At 34.2% G+C, this 19,578-nt stretch overlaps 1 protein-coding gene across 17 annotated transcripts in view; it reads left to right on the top strand.

Moving 5' to 3' along the window:
* The window catches only part of DMD (dystrophin), a 2,220,167-nt gene that overhangs the window by 309,490 nt on the left and 1,891,099 nt on the right, over positions 1 to 19,578 (top strand). For all 17 annotated transcript variants that reach the window (XM_006724469.4, NM_000109.4, XM_011545467.2 and 14 more), the window contains 1 exon segment: positions 9,699 to 9,760. In XM_006724469.4, coding sequence (XP_006724532.1) covers positions 9,699 to 9,760 — 62 coding nt within the window.

The following is a 19,578-nucleotide window of genomic DNA, read 5'->3' as shown; positions in this document are numbered from 1 at the left end:
TAACTGTTTGCACAATCTACCAGATGGCACTGTTTTTCCAACTGAGACCACTTAACACCTTTTCATATACTCTTGGAGTTCTGATCATTCTTCCACTCTAATACATTTCTTCAATCTCATTGTCATTATGTCCTACTTCATGCAACTTCGATTAATTCTTCACAAGTATATTTCTACAATACTTGTGCTATGTTTCCAATGTATAGAGCATTGCAATTTTTATGAATATACAACTATGCGATTATGTTAGGTTCTCACCATAACTCCAATTTGCTAATGGAGCATAAATTCTGTGATTAAGTGGCAGGGAATGGGAGAGAACTTTTATTCAATATGAGCTGACATGGCTTTCCAATCTGGTTTCTGAGTCCAACAACTCCCTACAATAAAAAAGCAATTGACCTACCTGAGAAAGAAGTGGCGTTTGCAGTGGAGGCAAAGGAACAGACAGGTCATCCATAGCATTTTACATTGTGTCAGAAGCATGACAGTCATGAAAGATGAAGTAAAGGGCAATTATATCATATTACAGAGTGAAATTCACCTAGAGAAATAAAGGCAGATTGTTTGCAAGAAATATTCTTTCTCTTAATTTTTTATTCATTGTAGTGATGAAAATAAGTAGCAATATTTCAGTTCCAAGGCTAAATTTTGGGGAGAAGTCATTGAAAGTTAGTTTTATGTCTAATGGGTGCTCAATGGATAATTTAGGAAATGAATTGGTGACAGAAGGTCTATAATTAACAGAGTAGTTTGAGCAGTATGATGAAGTGCAGGGGGAAAGCATTGGTCTAGGACTTAGTAGATCTGAGATTTAATTACAGTATTGATTAGTCACTTGATTTATTCAACAAACCCTTACTAAGTACCTATTTCTGCTTCAGTATACCATGTTTGGTGCCAGGAGTTGCAAAGACATAATAATTCTCCCATCTAAGTGTGGTCACATTTAGGAGGTAATGAGTGGGATTTGGGCTGCATTATTGGAAGACAACAAACTAATTTTCTGTTTGTGTGTGTGTATGTGTGTATGTGTGAGTGTAAGCAAGATGAGATATTTGAAATCACTTTATAAATTATAATGCACACACAATTAAAGTATCTGTGTGTCCATACACATACAGTTAAAGTATTTATGTGTGTAACACATATGCATAATTAGAAAAAAGCCTACACATATGTATATATCAGAAGGATTGATTGATAAGTTATGCCAGGGAGATAAGTGTGATTGTGAAAACCCTCACATTCGACCTAGATCTTAATAGTGAGTGTCCTCATTCTAGGGAGTGCATGAACAAAGGACTAAAGCAAGAAAGCATATGATTTATTTATGGAGAAATTTGGCTTGTGTGACTAAGGCAGACCTGGTAGATGTATATAAGGTTTGGGATATGGGTGACTGCCAACAGGCCTAATCGATAATATGTTTAGAGGAGTACACTGGAGTCAAATTGTGAAGGCCCTTATATGCCATTCTGAATAATCTAGCCTGTAACCTCATCAGAGAAGCTCTGGATTTTTCAAGTTAGTTCTCTTAATATATGATTGTAACAGAACTGTAGTTTCTCCATCAGGGAATTTAGCTTTATCATTGATTATCCATGATCCAACTCCCCTAACTCCACATATAATTAATAATTAGTACTTACCAATACTACCCCGTAAACACATCTTGAATGCACCTACTCCTTTTCCAGCCCCACTGCCATTCATTAATGCAAGTCATGCTTACTTCTCACGTGGATTATAGGTATAATCAGCTCATGTGTCTTCTTATTTACAGTTTATCCCCAAATATTCTCTACACTGTGAAATTTATTTCTAAAAGCCAAGCCTGACATTGCTATTTCCCTACTTAAAATTCTGCTTTGATTTCGAACTGCCCTCTGGCTATATTTTCAGGCTCTTCATAAATAGGTTGATGATAATTTCACTTTTTCTAGGGTCATCTCTGCCATTTTTATCCTCCTCCACCATCTCTAGGTCTGGGAAAGGACCATACTCTTTCTCTCACATCCTGACACTTTCACCTGCTCTTTTGATTTTCTGGAGTTCTCTTTTCTACCACTTGTCTCTCTGCTCTTAATTAACTTTCAAAACTCAGCTGAGATGTCACTTCATCAAGGAAGCTCTGGATTTTTCAAGGTAGTTTCCTTAATATATGATTGTCACATGACTGTAGTTTCTTCATCAGGCAACTTATCTGTATATTTGTATCAACATACCCTTTTGTTGTGTCTGCTTCTCTCACTAAGCTAGAAGGAAAAAAGCTAGAGACACTGCCTTTCTCACAGTTGTTTTTCTACCACCTAGTAGGTGTCAGTACACATTTGTCACTTAATAGCCTTAAATATGAAATGTAATTTATTAGTTTCCTATTGCTGCTATAAAATTACCACAAATTTAGTGGCTTAAAATTATATACATTTATTCTCAGACAGTTCTGCAGGTCAGAAATCCAAACTGGAACTTACTGGACTCAAATCATGATGCCAGAAGGGCTGTGTACTTTTGGATGCTCCAGGGGAGAATCTGTCTCCTTGCCTTTTCCATTTTCTAGAGAATTCCCACGTTATTTGGCTCACGGCCTTCTTCGTACATCTTCAAAACCAGCCACCTCGGACCAAGTCCTTCTCATAGTGCTTTCTAATTCTCCCCTTATGCCAACATTTCCCCCCTTTTAAGGACCCCTGTGATTAAATCCTGCCCACTCAGATAATCTGGGATAATCTCCCTATCAAAAGTTAGCTAATTAGAAAGTCTAATTCTATCTGCAATAATTCCACTTTGCCATGTAACATAATTTATTCACAGATGTCAGGGATTAGCACGTGGCCATTTTTGAGGAGGCATTATTCTGCCTACCAGAGTTTAATAGAATTAATATCTGCAGAGGAGAAAAATGAGAAGAGGACTAAAAAGTAAATCTGGTCTTCGTTAACTTAAAACACCTTTATTGAGCACTACTATGTAACACATTCTATGCTAAGTGCTGGGATTACAGCTCTGATCCAGACAGTCACTCTCTTGGAAATGAGAAAGGATGTAGGTGATGTTATTAAGAACAACTTTTGTAGGATGATGAGCAGTGAAGACTGCATTACATTGACTGTAAAGCGAATGGGAAATAAAGAAATATCTTTGACATGAACAGCTTTTCTGTTCTTCGTGCAGAAGTTTAATTATTTTAGACCTCCTCATTGTAAGCTGACCACTAACGTCACCTCAGGCGGTAGAAAAATCCCATAATCAAAGACTATTACTCAGATTTAATAGAAAGCATTTTTCATACCATTTTCCATTGCAGCCTCCTCCACTCTGCACTGCCATTTTGTAATATTAATGGCACAGTAAATCCACTTTCTAAATATGTCCTAAATTTGTTTCCTTCCTTTATAATGCTCCAAAATATCACATAACCTTATCTAATGTTTATCATTAATCTTCCATATTTTTCATTTTTTTCTCATGTTTGATGGAAGCAGAGAATAGACTGAACTTAATTGCTCTCCCATATTACTTCATAGTTCTTTATTTTCTTTTCTTTCTTTTTTTTTTTTTTTTTTTTTTTTTTTTTTTTTTGAGACGGAGTCTCCTCTGTCCCCCAGGCCGGAGCGCAGTGGCACGATCTTGGCTCACTGCAAGTTGCGCCTCCCAGGTTCACGCCCCAGTAGCTGGGACTACAGGCGCCCGCCACCACGCCCGGCTAATTTTTTGTATTTTTAGTAGAGACGGGGTTTCACCGTGTTAGCCAGGATGGTCTTGATCTCCTGACCTCATGATCCGCCCACCTCGGCCTCCCAAAGTGCTGGGATTACAGGCGTGAGCCACTGCGCCCGGCTTCATAGTTCTTTCTTTAAGTGAAATTAACTCATCCCATTGCATTTCTTCACTACGTGAGTTTCTAAACTGGTATCAACTTTAATATTCCCTTCCCCTTTTAAAGATACATTTTCTGTGTCACATTAGGGATGAAGATCTTCAATTAACATATTAACTAGCCCCCAAGGAAATATCATTTAAAAAATGTTTTTCTAGGCCGAATGTGGTGGCTCATGCCTGTAGTCCTAGCACTTTGGGAGGCTGAGACAGAAGGATTGATGGAGTCCAGGAGTTTGAGACCAGCCTGGGCAACATGGGGAGACCCCATCTTTACAAAAGAAAAAAAATTAAAAATTAGACAGATGTGGTGATGTGTGCCTAGAGTCCTAGCTACTGAGGAGGCAGAGGTGAGAGAATTGCTTGAGCCCAGGGGTCTGAAGTTACAGTGAGCTGTGATGGTTCCAATGCACTCCAGCCTGGGGAACAGAGCGAGACCTTGTGTCAAAAAAATTTTATTTTCTTGTACAGATTATGGTTAATTGCTTTGTGTAATGGGAATAATTGTTAGTGTTTATAGAACTGTTTTTCTGTTTTTTTTTTTCCCCCAGTTTTTAAATGCTTTCACTTACATTGTTTATCTGATGGCAGAGAAGAGGTCTTAAGGAGGCTCTCCAGCATCTCGCTCCTAACTCTCATTGCAATTTCATTCCATGCCACTCCCTTTCTCACATTTTAGAGTGCAACAAAACAGAATTGCATAATGAATGAGCGTGTACTTTCAGTTTCTTATCACTCTGTCCTTGTCCTTACTGTCTGCTCAGTGAGATTCATCTTTATCCTCCTCCTACCTTTATTCCTTCTTTACTTTCTCTCATCCTTCTGAACTCAACCTACCCATTACCTTCTCCAAAATATCTTTTCTAACACCCATGTGGCTACATATTCCTTTCTCCATGCTCCTATAATACGCTTTAAATTTATATATATTTTTGTTTATGCAAAATGTTTCATATTTATCTATGATGTGTCTATTATCTACTAGGCTAAGAGCTCTCCCAGACTGAATCTTGTTTATATTTTCAGTAACTAGTGCAATGTCCAGGTCATAGTAAGCATTCTGTAAATATTTATTTTATAAATTATTACACGAGTAAATGATCTCATTATATCCTGTCAATAGCTCCATGAGTTAAAGAGCAATTAATATTCTCATTTCACAGTTAAAGACGCTAAGGCTTGGCAATTTTAAGGCCACAATTCTAATAAGTCCTGCAAAGCCACTGGAAGCCAGTTCCACAGATTTAATGTTCCCTCAGTTTGCCCAGTATCATTCTTCTGCAGTAACTTGCTCTTGTGAATCAAGAATATTGCAATTTAATATATCCCACATTTATATTCCTGAGGGACTAAGGAATATAAAAGTTAATAACAGGGTAAAAGTTCATTGTACTAATCTTAAAAAATATGAAAGGCCACATATACTGAATAAAAATAACTTTATTAGAAGGGGTTAAAGATTACTGAGAGGAAATACAATTTTTATGTCATGTTAGAAAGCTAATTTTATATGGGATTTCCCCGTAGAGAGAATAAAATAAAACGTTGGTCAGTTTTTGCAATTTATGAAGTAGTGGTTCTTCACTTCTTGACATCTCCAGGGAACAGTTTTCAAGTAAATTTTCCTAAGAGAGATTTTCTTCTTTGCCTCTCTTATTAATATGCACATGCATGTTTTTATTAGTAAAATAAAATCAGTTATAAACAAACCCTAAAGGAAATGAAATAGAATATGTGCTGCTTGAAATGACTAAACAGGAGCATATAATCATTTTGTAATAAAACAGCTATCACTTTATTCTTTTCTCATTTGCTTTGTTGCTGATTGCACATTAATATGTTTTACTATAGACTATGTGACTACAGAAATAGACATCATGTTAACGTATCAAAATAGTTTCTAGAACAATTTATATATGTGTGATGTGTATGTATGGTGGCTTTAGGTTAACTAAGGGTATACAGCTTAAAATAGTCAACTTTTAAGCAATATGACAAATAGCAATAAAAATATATCAATTCAAGTAAATACGTATAAAATTTTAGCATACTAAAATAAAAATTAAAAGGCATATGACCACTTGGGAAAATATGTCCATTCACTGACTAAAAGTGAGTAGCTTAATTTTGATCGTTAACTTGGATTTTATGGTTATAGGAGTTTTCTGCAAGGAGGTCAGTGAACTCTATGAAACTATATGCAAATATGTATGTGTAGACATTTTTCTATAGAGAAGGTTCATTATTTTCATCAGATAATCAAATGGAGCCCATGACTTGAAATGTTTAAGAATTACCAATATATAATTATCTCATTCCAATTAATTTTAAAATATTAAATGCTCAATAGATAAATGAGCCAGGATGTAAACAAGTATTTTGACAAAAATAGGAACATACAGAATAAATAAATGCATGAAACATCTTCTACTTCATTAGTAATCAAATTAATTATGATTAAAGCAAACATCAAGGATCTCCTTACATCTAAACAAAGCAGCAATACCGTAAAAGACTAAAGCAACGAAACTCCTATGAATGACATACCTGCGGCTGAGATGATAATTCCCAACCTCATTCTTTCTGCTACCAGTAGAAGTGGGTGTGATCACTTGGAAAGTATTATAAAGATATTTAGCAAAAGTCATAAAGGTTTTCATAATGTTGAACTGATAATTTTTTCGAAGACAATTATAAAAACAAAAAAGAAGTGAGTGCATGAGCATGTTTATTGTGATTTAGTCTCTAATAGCAAACAAAAGGAAAGAGCAGCTTATATGAGATTTATGATAAAATAAGTGAAAAAGAAAGAATATTATTTTGGTTATAAGAAATATGTATTTATGGGGAATTTAAAAGTGTGGACACAAAAATTTTGATTGATTTTTGGATGTTAAAATGTTTCCATAATGATATATAAGACGAAAATTGAAATACCAAATATCAATTAGTAAATGTAAAAGCATTATTATTTGAAGTATTAACAACCATATCATCCAGCACCATTAAAGAAGGCTCATTATTCAGTTCTAGATCAGTTCATACAGACAAATAAGTTATGCATTGCCAAATTCCAGGACGCTATTCACATAGGTTACAACATACATGGAACCTCCTTGAGTTGTTCAAAATAGAAGCTCTGATTTCATGGTTGTTTTGCATTTGCGTTAATATGTTCACCTTTTGTGACTCTGATTATCTTATGGTATTCTGTATTGTTAATTATGCAATTATAATGTAAATGATAGATATCTGGTCAATGTGAAAAGCCATGGACTTTGATTCAGAAAATCTGTATCAAGTTCATTTCTGTCACTTAATAGCTTTATTCCTTCTCAGCTTGTGTTTATGTATAAAGTAGTAAATTACATACAGATTGAGAAGACATAATTAAAACAAACTTATGAATAGTAAGGCACTAAGAATTGTTATGTATTTTATAATAATAATACAATTAATTGTATTAATAATTATTATGTTGAAGAAAATATATGCTACTATACCAAAATAAGACAATAATTCATTGAAGACATTTTTCTTGTATTAAAGACGTAGAGGTGAGAGAGGACAACTAGCAAAGATGTTTATATGTTGAAGCTCACATTTAGTGTTATTTACACAGTAAATAAGTAACACTTTGCACATAATGTCAAGGTTTTCGTGCTGCCTTCGATGCTTACCTAAAAATTACTCCTTGTCCATATAATTGAAAAGAATAAAAATTTTATTCTACTACGTATTTTTCACTTAAAAGCCTCTAGATTAAATCACTTCAAAAGACCTCATATTGAGCTTTTGGCAGAGGGTTTTGGGTATGTTTCAAAGACATCTGAATGTATGCTTTCAACTGACTCATTTACTCTCTGCTTTCTGACAGAAAGTACGCATGCACATGTAGGAAATATAAGTGGAATTGCAAATAAGGTCATTTACTTTTAGGAATATATGTATATACTACTGATAAATGATGCGTTGACCAATCTTCCTCCATAAAGTCTATGAAGATGGTTTAATTTTGACCATTTGAAATGTTCCATTTCTTTTTAAAATTATTTTGGAAGGGCTAGTATTAATTTTATGAAAGTAAAGATTTGAAGGAGGCTAGAATAGGTTTGAAAACTATTACTATCTGTTTTTATTTATTCACCCTTGTCAACAAAGGAAATACTTCCATATTGTAGCTAAGATTTATCATATACCATATGAATAATGTTGATATTGAACATACATATAGAAGCTTGTGTGAATAACATAATTAAATAAGAAAAATGTATTTTGTAATGCTAAATAAAATTTCTCACCTAAGATGACAGTTTGAAATTTATTTATTCACTGTTATTTCTCATATTGACTAAAGGAATCTACTTATAGATTAGTATTGTGATTTAAAGATAAACAGATATTTTTGGTGCATGCATATATTTGTTATGCGAAAGTGATTCCTTATGTTTTTAAGAGAAGCAACGGAGATTTACTACTGAAAAATATATGAGAGCAAATATGATTACTTTGTAAAGGGCATTTTAATAACGGTTCTTTTAATCCAAGTAGATAAAATATAAAATTTATCAATTTTAAATATCTCTCAGATGCATTCATTTACTGAACATTAACTAATATGATTATATTTACAATAATTAAAAAAATAGTCTTTTGCTTGGAGAAAAACATTTTAATATATCAAGATTGATGATTTTTCTGTCCATTTGACTTAATACTAATTTCCAGTTTAGGGGCAAAAAGATCATTTGTAGAAGCATGAATTCAGTGAAGCTGTTTTTTAATAATTTTTCTCCCTAATCCCTTAGTATAAATCTTTGGGGACTTTTTTCTTTGAGTATTTATATGTAAGGCATGAAGAGTATCATTTGCATTTTTATTTGAAATGTTCTGACTTTTAGATGAAAAGAGGTCCTAGAAATTTTAGAGTTGTAGAATCTCCCCTTCCTTAAAGCATGCACGTATTTGTCAGATGTATTTTCTGAGCTCTTAATTTGTTCAGACAGTGTGCTAAGTTCTGGGAAGCAAAGATAACTAAACCATGCTCCTGCTCATCAGGAAACCTCTTCCATAGTGAGATCAGGCCCATGTTAGAGTATGTAGATGCTGCAAAGGAAGGAATAATCATTTCTCCATGGTTGGGTGGATGGCATGGGGAAAGGCTCCGAAATAGTTTTTCGGAGTAAATGACAGCTGAGAGTTTCTTTTAATTATACTGGAGTATCTATTCATAACTGGCGAATAAATACTGTTATTCAGAGGAGACTATTTTTTTATAATCATACAGTATTTGAACGACTATGGGTTTGGTCATATTAATTGTTTTTCAGATATTACAAATCTGAGGCGGGATCTTGCTCTGTCGCCCACGCTGGAGTGCAGTGCCATGATCTCGGCTCACTGCAACCTCCACCTCCTGGATTCAAATGATTCTCCTGCCTCAGCCTCCCAAGTAGCTGGGATTACAGGTGCATGCCACCATGCCTGGCTAATTTTTGTATTTTCAGTAGAGATGGGGTTTCGCCATGTTGGCCTGGCTGGTCTCAAACTACTGGCCTCAAGTGATCCGTCCTCACTGGCCTCCCAAACTGTTGGGATCACAGGCGTGAGCCACCGCGCCTGGCCATTTTTCAGAAGTAATTTTAATTTGGATGCCCCAAACCAGCATCACTCATGTTTAATTCCATTTATCAATGAATGTAATACTAAATGTAAAAAAACACTAACACATCATAATGGAAAGTTACTTTGGTTGTAAAATATGAATTATATTTAAAGTTGCTTCCTAACTTTTATTTTTTTATTTTGCATTTTAGATGAAAGAGAAGATGTTCAAAAGAAAACATTCACAAAATGGGTAAATGCACAATTTTCTAAGGTAAGAATGGTTTGTTACTTTACTTTTAAGATCTAAGTTGTGAAATTTTCAAAATGGACTATGTACCTGTGTATCTTAAAAATCCGTTTTATTTCTCTCATAGTGTCATTTTATTTTAGCTGTGCAAATCTGGAAATATTATGTTCACTCTTATTTAAGGAGTAAGCAGCAGAAGATATGGCAAAGATACACTATTTAATTATATAAAATGTATATCTTTGATTCTTCTTGACAATGTGAGTTTCTTTAATGACATGAGTCCTCAGAGTTTATAGCTGCAATCTTCCATCAAGTAGCTAGAATATGTCACCCAGCAGAAGAAGATATGAGGGAATTTTGTTGTGAAAATTATCATTTTTTTGTCCCTCTTGGTCTTTACCAAGTTCAAGAAAAGCAATATAATTGCTTTGGGTGTATTCAGCCACTATAGTTTAGAGCATATTTCAAATGATTAAAGACAATAAGTTCATCTTGTTTTTGTGCAGGCTTCAATCCATACTCTTAATATTTACTTAATTTGCAAATACAACTCAATTTTTAATCAATAGCGTGACTCTAGATGATTATAGGTGGACACAGAGCAAGATATTCTTACCTTGAAAACTAGTATTAGGAATGCAATATATGGAGGTTTATTGGGATGTCAAAGTTTAAAAGACTTGCATTTTAATTATTATTCTCGATTTGGGTAAATCAATCAAATGTTTGGTGAGTCGGTTTTCTTATGTTTCCATCATGAATGTTTGTATATGTATATATTGATTGCTTAATTGAGACATCAAATCTAGATAATGGAAAAATAAAGCTAATAAAATATGGCCCTTAAACCCAAGGCTTTAAGAGTGGCATAGTTTTGATAGTGGATATTTTGTTTCTTATTGTAATGATTTAAAGAGTCACTAAAAGTGAAAATTTCTACTAAAATGCCTGAAACTCTTAATAGCTATGAATTACTCCCTCTATGGGTCTGATTTTGTAAAATTCATGATAATGGAGCCAAAACAATCCACTAGGAGATCCAATCTCAAAAGTTCTCCCTTTTCTATGACAAACATTTTTAGAATATCGTCTATTCTTTGTGGTATTTGGTAGTAGAATGTTGCCATGTACTCTTTAATTTAACTTACTGAATTTTAACTAATAAAAGTTCATTTTATTTACTTGCTGAATAATTAACAAATTTCTATTACAGACGTAAACAGAAACATGTATTTTAAAAACGTTTTTTAAATCCTCAACTTTTTTTAGCTAAGTGAAATAAAATATAACAACACAAATATAGAAGAATAAATAAAAAGTAAACCTAGGATATTTAGGAAAGTTATTCATAATTCTCCGAATATTTATAAGATGGTTATATATAGTTTAATTGCTGTATATACTGGCATCATTGACATTTTTAAGTTTTGGAATTCTGAAGCAGACAAGAGACATATTTTCAAACAAACATACAGACAAATCAGAATTGTGAAGAAATTTTCTGAAATAGTAAATGTAACAATACTCTGAATCTTTGAATTGAACTAGAGTAATTTTTAAAAGGTGTGTAAACATGACAAGTACTGTGTATCCTCATTCCCGCAAGTTGAAATAGATCTTCGCTCTGTGCATTAACCTTTTCCATTATCATTTATCACAACTCACCTGTTAATATAGAAATCAAAGCTTGATATCCAATCCATCCTCTATTTATATATTGTTAGCACTGCCTCAGAGCAATTCGGTATATTTTTTTCTGTCCTTATGAATGCCCATATCTTAAAACTGTAAAATATTCACATATATGAGCACATTTATTGTTTTCTTCCAAAATATTTGCATCCTCTAACTCAACTCACACTTTTCATTTATATTACAAATGTTCTCCCTAAGTCTGTTATAACTGATCAGGAGAGTCACCATTCTTTCAAGTACAGAAATTCTATTATCAAGCATATCCTAGGTGTCAGGAATAGAAATAAAAGTTTACAAAGACAGAGGAGAAAACTTATTTAAAGGTAAAATGTATATATACCTGTGCACTAACTTCTAATTTTGAGAACTTGCAAAGAATCTTTTTCCTCTTTTCTTATTCTTTTCTGTCAAAACTTAGCTAAGTGACTGCATTCTTTTAGACACTTTTGAAGAAGATGGGAATTTAGAGGAAGCTAGTTGATTCAGTTTAAGCCACTTGGTGAAACCAAAAGATAAACATAATTGTGATATATATATCATTTGGCAATTTATTGCATCGCTGCATGCCTTTCAGCAGAATTCTAGCCCTGTAGGATACACAGATTAGTTGAAGTGGAATCTCCTGAACTCATGGAACCTACACAGTTATTTGGGAGTTTTTGGTTAATTGATAAATGGAGTTAGAACTGAGTGGGCTCAGTGTGGGTGGTCTGAGAAGGCAGTAATCTGAGCTAGAGGGAATCTGGTAACCTTTATGAAGAAAGCTCTAAAATGTGAGCCCATCAAAGGCAGGAATGTATATCTTCTATATAATCTCATTGTTTATTACTAGTACACTATATAAATATAATAAATATACTAGGTCAGTAGTACAAATCATTAAATCTATGCTAACTGTAGAAACAGAAGAAAAACTGGGTGGAAAAATTGTGTTGAAGAAGACTTTAAAAAGAGAAAAAAGAGAATGAAAAATTCTGTCTGTGTGGTAAATTAGACACAGGCACACACACATTCATACAACTATAAAAATGCCTCACTAATAAATCTAACTCATATTCATTTTTATAGTCGTATTAATGTCTATCTGTGTCTACTTTACCACACAGACAGATGATAATTTTTCATTGCCTTTTATACACACATTTATATAATATTTGTAAATTATAGAGAGACAACAAAATATTTCCTTGTTATTTTGTAAAGCTACGGAAGGGATATTTAAAGGAAATAAATGTGATTAAATGTATCCTTGTTGTTGTGGCGTCATTTGAAGCCAAATGTGTCTTTGCAGTAAATCTAACTGATTTTCCACTTTCCTGGTACCATTTTAAAAATAAGCCCTATCTCTTTTTAAAATAAGTCTTCTATTAACTTTGATTCCAAAAAATTCTACTAGAATGTGATTTATCACATCTATTATATAGAGATAACTGAACAATATTTATCTCCACATAAACACAAAACCATTTCTAGATAAGATTAATTCAGAGTAAATATTCTTTCCATGTAATTTATTGATATGTTATAATCCTTTAAAAAGCCTCGTGTATACTCTATGACAAATATGATTCGCATTATAAAAATCTTGCTCATCCATGCCGGCTTAATAAAGGGAAGTACAGTTTTGAAAACATGACCAAAAATAATTTTGTCATAAAATGTGCTTGATGTTTGTGTTTGAGAAAAAATTTTATGGGAAAAAATATTTACTGCCAGCTCAATTGAGAGAGATAAACTATCTCCCAATGAGTGATATGATGGTTTTGATCCTATACTGAATTTAGTAATCATCTTTATTTCCATACTCACTCTTCTGTCTGATTTTTTTCCAACATAGTATGCATGTTTGACTTAAATGAAGTAGAAATGCATAATTAGTTTTGTCTAATGTCTTCACAAAAGCCCATGATATGATAGTGTTCCTGGACCAAACTGAGGATTGGGCTGCTTATTCTTGTGGCCCAATAACGAGATGCAGATGAACGGGAAAAGGAGAGAGTTTTTATTTCTGTAAGTGGTTACAGGGAGAAGACCTGGAAATTATCCCCAGACCAACTCAAAACTATAAAGTTTTCCAGAGCTTATATACCTTCTACGCTGTATGTCTACATGTAAGTGTGTATCCATCTAAAGACATAAATGATTAACTTCTTCTGATCTGTAACTAAGATCTGATTCCTGAAGACATTCCTCTGGAGCCTCAGTAAATTTACTTTATCTAAATGGGTCCAGGTGCTGGGATGATTACCCTTATCTTATCTCCGGCTAAATCATGGAGTTTGGGGGAGTTCCTTCAGATGCCCAGTAAACTTGTTTGTGGAGTCCTGGGGAGTTTCTTCAGACCCCCAATAAAGCTTTTTTAATTCTAAAAGGGTCCTGTTAAGAATTCCTTCATTATCTTGTCATGCTTCAAGGCCCAGGAAAGGCCTGGGCAAAACTCTTGGTGGGCTTTTGTTACCGTCCAGCCTTTGTTTAAGGGCGCTGGCTCTATCAGCTTTTAATATGTAACTTTACCACTCAGTCAGTGCTGAAACAGTTGTTGTGGAGGCCTGCATTAGTGAGACCTGGCCTGCCACAATAGTTCATTTACCTCTTCATTGCCGCAACATATATGTCCACATTAAAAATCCAGGACTCACCCTCTTTGGGCAATATCATGTGATAAAATAAATTGATATGACATACTTCTTGCAAGATTTCTTTTTAATTTACCTTTTAGCCAGCATGATAAGCATGATGTAGGGTAAATTAACACTAAACTTTTGAGTCAGTAAGGTAGCCTTTCTTTTTTTAACTTTTATTTTAAGTTCAGGGGTACATGTGCAGGTTTGTTATATAGGTAAACTTGTGTCACGGGGGTTGGTTGTACAGATTATTTCATCACCCAGATATTAGGCCTAGTACCCATTAATTATTTTTCCTGATCCTCTCCCTCCTCCCACCCTCCACCTTCCGATAAGCTCCAGTGTGTGTTGTTCCCCTCTATGTGTCCGTGTGTTCTCATCATTTAGCTCCCACCTATAAGTGAGAACATGCAGTACTTGGTTTTCTGTTCCTGCATCATTTTGCTAAGGATAATGGCCTCCAACTCCATCCATGTCCCTGCAAAGGACATGATCTCATTCTTTCTTATGGCTACATAGTATTCCATGGTGTATATGTACCACATTTTCTTGGTCCAGTCTATCATTGACGGGCATTTGAGTTGATTCCACGTCTTTGCTATTGTAAATAGTGCTGCAATGAACATATGTATGCGTGTCTTATAATAGAATGATTTATATTTCTCTGGGTACATGCCCAGTAATGGGATTGCTAGGTTGAATGGTAGTTCTGTTTTTAGCTCTTTGAGGAATCACTACACTGACTTCCACAATGGTTTAACTCATTTACTCTCCCACCAACAGTGTATAAGTGTTCCATTTTCTCCGCAGCCCCACCAGCACGTTATTTTTTGATAAAGCAGGCTTCTTCACACTACTCTCTACCTTAGGAGAAAACGTTATATCCATACTTTAATTTATTTGAAAAGAAAGGTGAATATAAAATTGAAATTCTCTGAGTCTTATTTTTCTTATATGTTCTTGCCTACTTGTAACAAAACATATAATAAAAGGGCATTATAAATAGTAAATCATATAAACACAAAATATTCCCATTTTTGTCATTATGTAATGTATTTTCTGAATTGAATTGAAAAATGCATATATTTATGAATTTTTTTCTACTGAATCTCTCCTTCTTATTTACTTCTATTCTTTTCCATGATGTTACCTGGTCTTCTTGAGAACATGATATTTTAATTGTAATCATTGTGTTCCTAACTCCATAATTTCATGATGCTATTGAAATGCACATGAATTTTGATTCTATAACCTAGTTTGTAATAAGCCATATTTCCTTGTTTCTCTACATTGGTTGAATCTGTTCCTGCAGCAACTAGTAACCCCAACAATCTGACTGGTGAGAAATTCAATCTCCGTAACATTTTGCATTCTTCTACTTCTTCCCACTTCCATTCCAAAGGGCCAGGTAGAGTCCAGAATACTGTAAGTGTCCTGGTTTTCAGTGCATTTTGGTCATAGCTGATATGCTTAATAGCCAAGTAAACATGACTACATAAAGGACAGCTTGTCCACAATGCCCTGCCTTGCTTGAACACGGAAGGTTTTGCTGATGATGCTCTGTGCTTGGTATCTGGCCTCTACAGCCATTTAAGTAGGTTGTCTCAGCACAACATTTGGAAACTCTGTAAAGGGAGTAGGATGTTGGCCTTCACAACTTCATCCCTTTCCCTGTGTTTGAGGAAGCTCATTAAACCTCTCTTTAATCTGACTGATTGCAAATTTCCACTGTCCCCGAATCTTAACTCCCATATCCCAATAGCCTGTTCAGTTGGGACAATATATCAATCCTTAACATGAATCTAGATTTTCAGAACTAAAGTTTTTGAAGGGTGATTTTCCTCTGGATACTTGTTCATTTCTTTATTGATTATGGTTTTGGCTACCTTCTTGGCATCAAACAGGGAAAACAGAGCATTTATTCATGTGTTACTATCCTATTACACTCTGTATGCCAATTCATGTCCTCAACACGTACACACAAACACACACACGCGCGTGCGCGCACACACACACACACATACATATACACACACCCAGTAAACATATTCTATATTTAAAATGAGCTTAGAAGTTTTTAAAAAAGGATGATACTGGGACAAAGTGGCAAAACATTATTTCAGTGAAGGAGGTAACAATATATATGTACCTTTCCATTGTGTAAGTGAATTCTAAATCTGTATATAGCTAACACATTTATATATAACTATTGTGCAATGTGCCTGCTTTAACAGAAGTAATCGAGCAGAGCTATTGTGCCATGGAAGGTTTTACATAGATCTAAAATGGCTCCTGTGCCCCTGGCTTCCTGTTTGTTTTTATCTGATAATAGGAAGAATTAAATCATTAGAGCAGATGACGTACAGTGAACTATGTCTCTGGATGCTGATGAGCAGCCTGCACAAGACTTTGGTAACAATTGAATTATTTAGTGCAATTATTTTGGAGAGATGAATATTGATACAGGAAACTTACGGAAATCCTCGTTTCAGAAATAGTGAGGATTGGGAACTTTTTGTTTATGTATACCATGATGTTAATAATCCTACTGAAAATTATATGTATATGGTTAGTTGCTCCAATAATCATATGATACAAGTATTCAAGATGAGTAAAATGTGAATTTATGTGGCTTGCTCACAGTAAATAGGAGAGATGAAGCTAGGACCCAAGAAAATGGACTCTAAAACTCATGATATTTCCATACCTATTATTGTTGGGACAAAAATTCCACCTACCCAATAATGCATTTTTGGGACAAATCATCAAATTGATAAGTCCTATGAGAAGCAGGCAGGGGGGTTGGAGACAGTGAAGACTCAATAACAGGTGGTATTAAATGCTCGCTTACTCACAGAGGATTTAATCTACCTTTGAATGTTTAGTAACCCCAAAATGCAACCATTGTTTAGGAAGTTTTTTAGTTGATTCTTTCTGAATGATTTCTAATACAAATGCCCCTCAACTTGTGTGGTTAGGTCCCTATAAACCCATCATAAGTTGAAAATATCACAAGTCAAAAATGCCTTTAATATACCTAACCTTCGAAACAACATAGCTTAGCCTACCCTACTTTAAATGTGCTGGCTTAACACTATCCTAGAGCTGGGCAAAATCATTTCACACAAACCTATTTTATAATAAAGCTAGCTCATGTAATTGATTGAATACTGTACTGAAAGTGAAAAACAGAATGCATGTATGGGTACTCAAAATACGGTTTCTACTAAATGAGTATCACCTTACACTATTATAAGGTCAAAATATCTTAAGTCGAGAACTGTTTGTACTTTAAATGTTAATATTTTTTACATACTGCGTTTTGGTGAGTGAAGTAAACTTAGTTTGCAGTAGAGTTATCTAAAGTGATATTGTCATTTTCAAACATTGCTTTTTATTTCTACTACTCATAAACAAATTATTGTGTTTACATGATTATTTGAATATTAACTTAAAACAGTTTTATACGAAATTCAAAATACCACTTTACTGGCATGTGAACTCCCTAACATCTACACTTGGTGTTAAGATGACTTGTCGAATGATGTGTTTGTGTTTGGAATCAAGATGATTATACTAAATGGTTTAATCTACTGAGAACCATTCCCTTGAATGTTTTCCTGAAACAATCTTTGCAAAGTACCTAAGTAACAAAGGATATTACTCAGTTAGTGAGACAAAAATGGATTGTGATAGGTCTCACTGTTTTCAAAGAAAGACAAATCACTTATTGTTAATAGTAAAGAAGTTTCTTAGAAATATGTTGCTGTTTATCAACCCAGTGTTACTGAGATCTTGACAATTCCTTTTAGAAGGTAAATGTTTTGGTCTCTAGGTTATCATGTCCTGATACAAGAAAATTGGAATTATTGATTACACCTATATTCTCTGGAGTGGTCTCAGTGCCAAGCATATTTAGCTTGCATATGTAAATATTTACCAATTAGCATGATAGTTGCTAGCAAAAAAACCAATTCTTTATGGCTGATGGGCCTATCCATTATTTATCTGATTTTATTTTGCTTTCTAGCAAAACAACATACATGGACATTAGTGAAGCATTTTTATTTAGAAAAGAACAATTGACACTCTGGTACCATCCTATCAGAGATATATGTTTACTAAAATAACCTTTCAACATTTAACAAATACTTATTGAATGCCAGCTATGTGCTAATCATACTGTCATACAGTGATGAAGGCATAACCCAACATGGTTTTCCCTCTCCAAGAGATTATCATCTGAGAAAGGAAACAATTGCATCAACAAATAATTAAAATAAAACATAATCTTTAATGCAATAGAAATGCTGTGGGAACATAGAAGACAGAATGACTAATTGCTTGGAGAGGATAATAGCTTTTTAAAATATGGTGACATTTAGTCTGGTGTTGTCTACGCAGAGACAATTTCAAGAAAGATGAAGGCAGAAGGAATTGCATGTAGAAATGTGTAATAATCAAAGAAGTATGACTTGTCAGGTGAGTAGTAGCAAGGGAGATCTTTAGGAGTGAAGAAGAGAGGTTGTGAGAGGGCATATAATGCCATTCTTGAAGAATTATATTGTTGTGGGGCTGGTTGAGCCAACAATAAGATAATGGCTTAGTCATGTTAATTTGCAACTTCTGATTGAAGACTGTGAAGCTCTAAAACAACAGGCAATGATAGAAGAATTAGACTGCCCCACCACCACTAATGCTTCATGCAAAATTTGGTCTGAAGTCTACCCTTTACATTTGGCAATAGACATAGAGACCTAAAATGGAAAAGCAAGCAGGCTACCATTTTTGTAGAGTTGTTTGATACCATGCACACTCCAAAACGATGCAGCAAAACGCATTGGAATTACCTAGAAAATGTGTTAAAACATGGATTGCTGAGGCCCATAGTCAGAGTTTCTAATTCCATAGGTCTAGGGTGGGACCCAGGAATCCGGATTTCTAACAGGTCCTCAGGTGATGCTGATGCTGACGGCCAAAGAACCACACTTTGAGAACCACAGTGTTAGAATTTCAGTAATTTAATCAGGTCTGTAGTAGAGAATGTTGGAGGAAACCCCACTGAGGAATTTATTGAACCCTCAAAGGGGAATGACCTTTTTCCAGTTGAGAATCAATGCAAGTACTTGATTTAAATTGGGATTTATTTTGTGGGGACTATACTCAAAAACTGAATGAGTTAAAAGACTCAAAATCAATCAATCTGATACTGATTGAGCATTCTTCGTCCAAAACGTTTGAAAATAGAAATGTTTCAAATTTTGGATTTTCGTTTGGAATATTTGCATTATACTTACTGGCTGAGCATCTCAAGTCCAAAAATCTGAAATCCAGAATGCTCCAATGAGCATTTCCTTTGTGTGTCATGTCAGCCCTCAAAAGGTTTCTGATTTGGGAGCATTTTGGATTTGGGATTTTTGGATTTGAGAGGCTCAACCTATACCTATTTTTTAAAAAATGTGTATATATATATATATGGATATACATACACACATATATATGTACATATATACATATTTA

Source organism: Homo sapiens, chromosome X (genome assembly GCF_000001405.40).
Source record: "Homo sapiens chromosome X, GRCh38.p14 Primary Assembly".
Classification (NCBI taxonomy): domain Eukaryota; kingdom Metazoa; phylum Chordata; class Mammalia; order Primates; family Hominidae; genus Homo; species Homo sapiens.
Note: the sequence above shows the minus strand (reverse complement) of the source record. Positions and strands in the feature narration are given on the sequence as shown.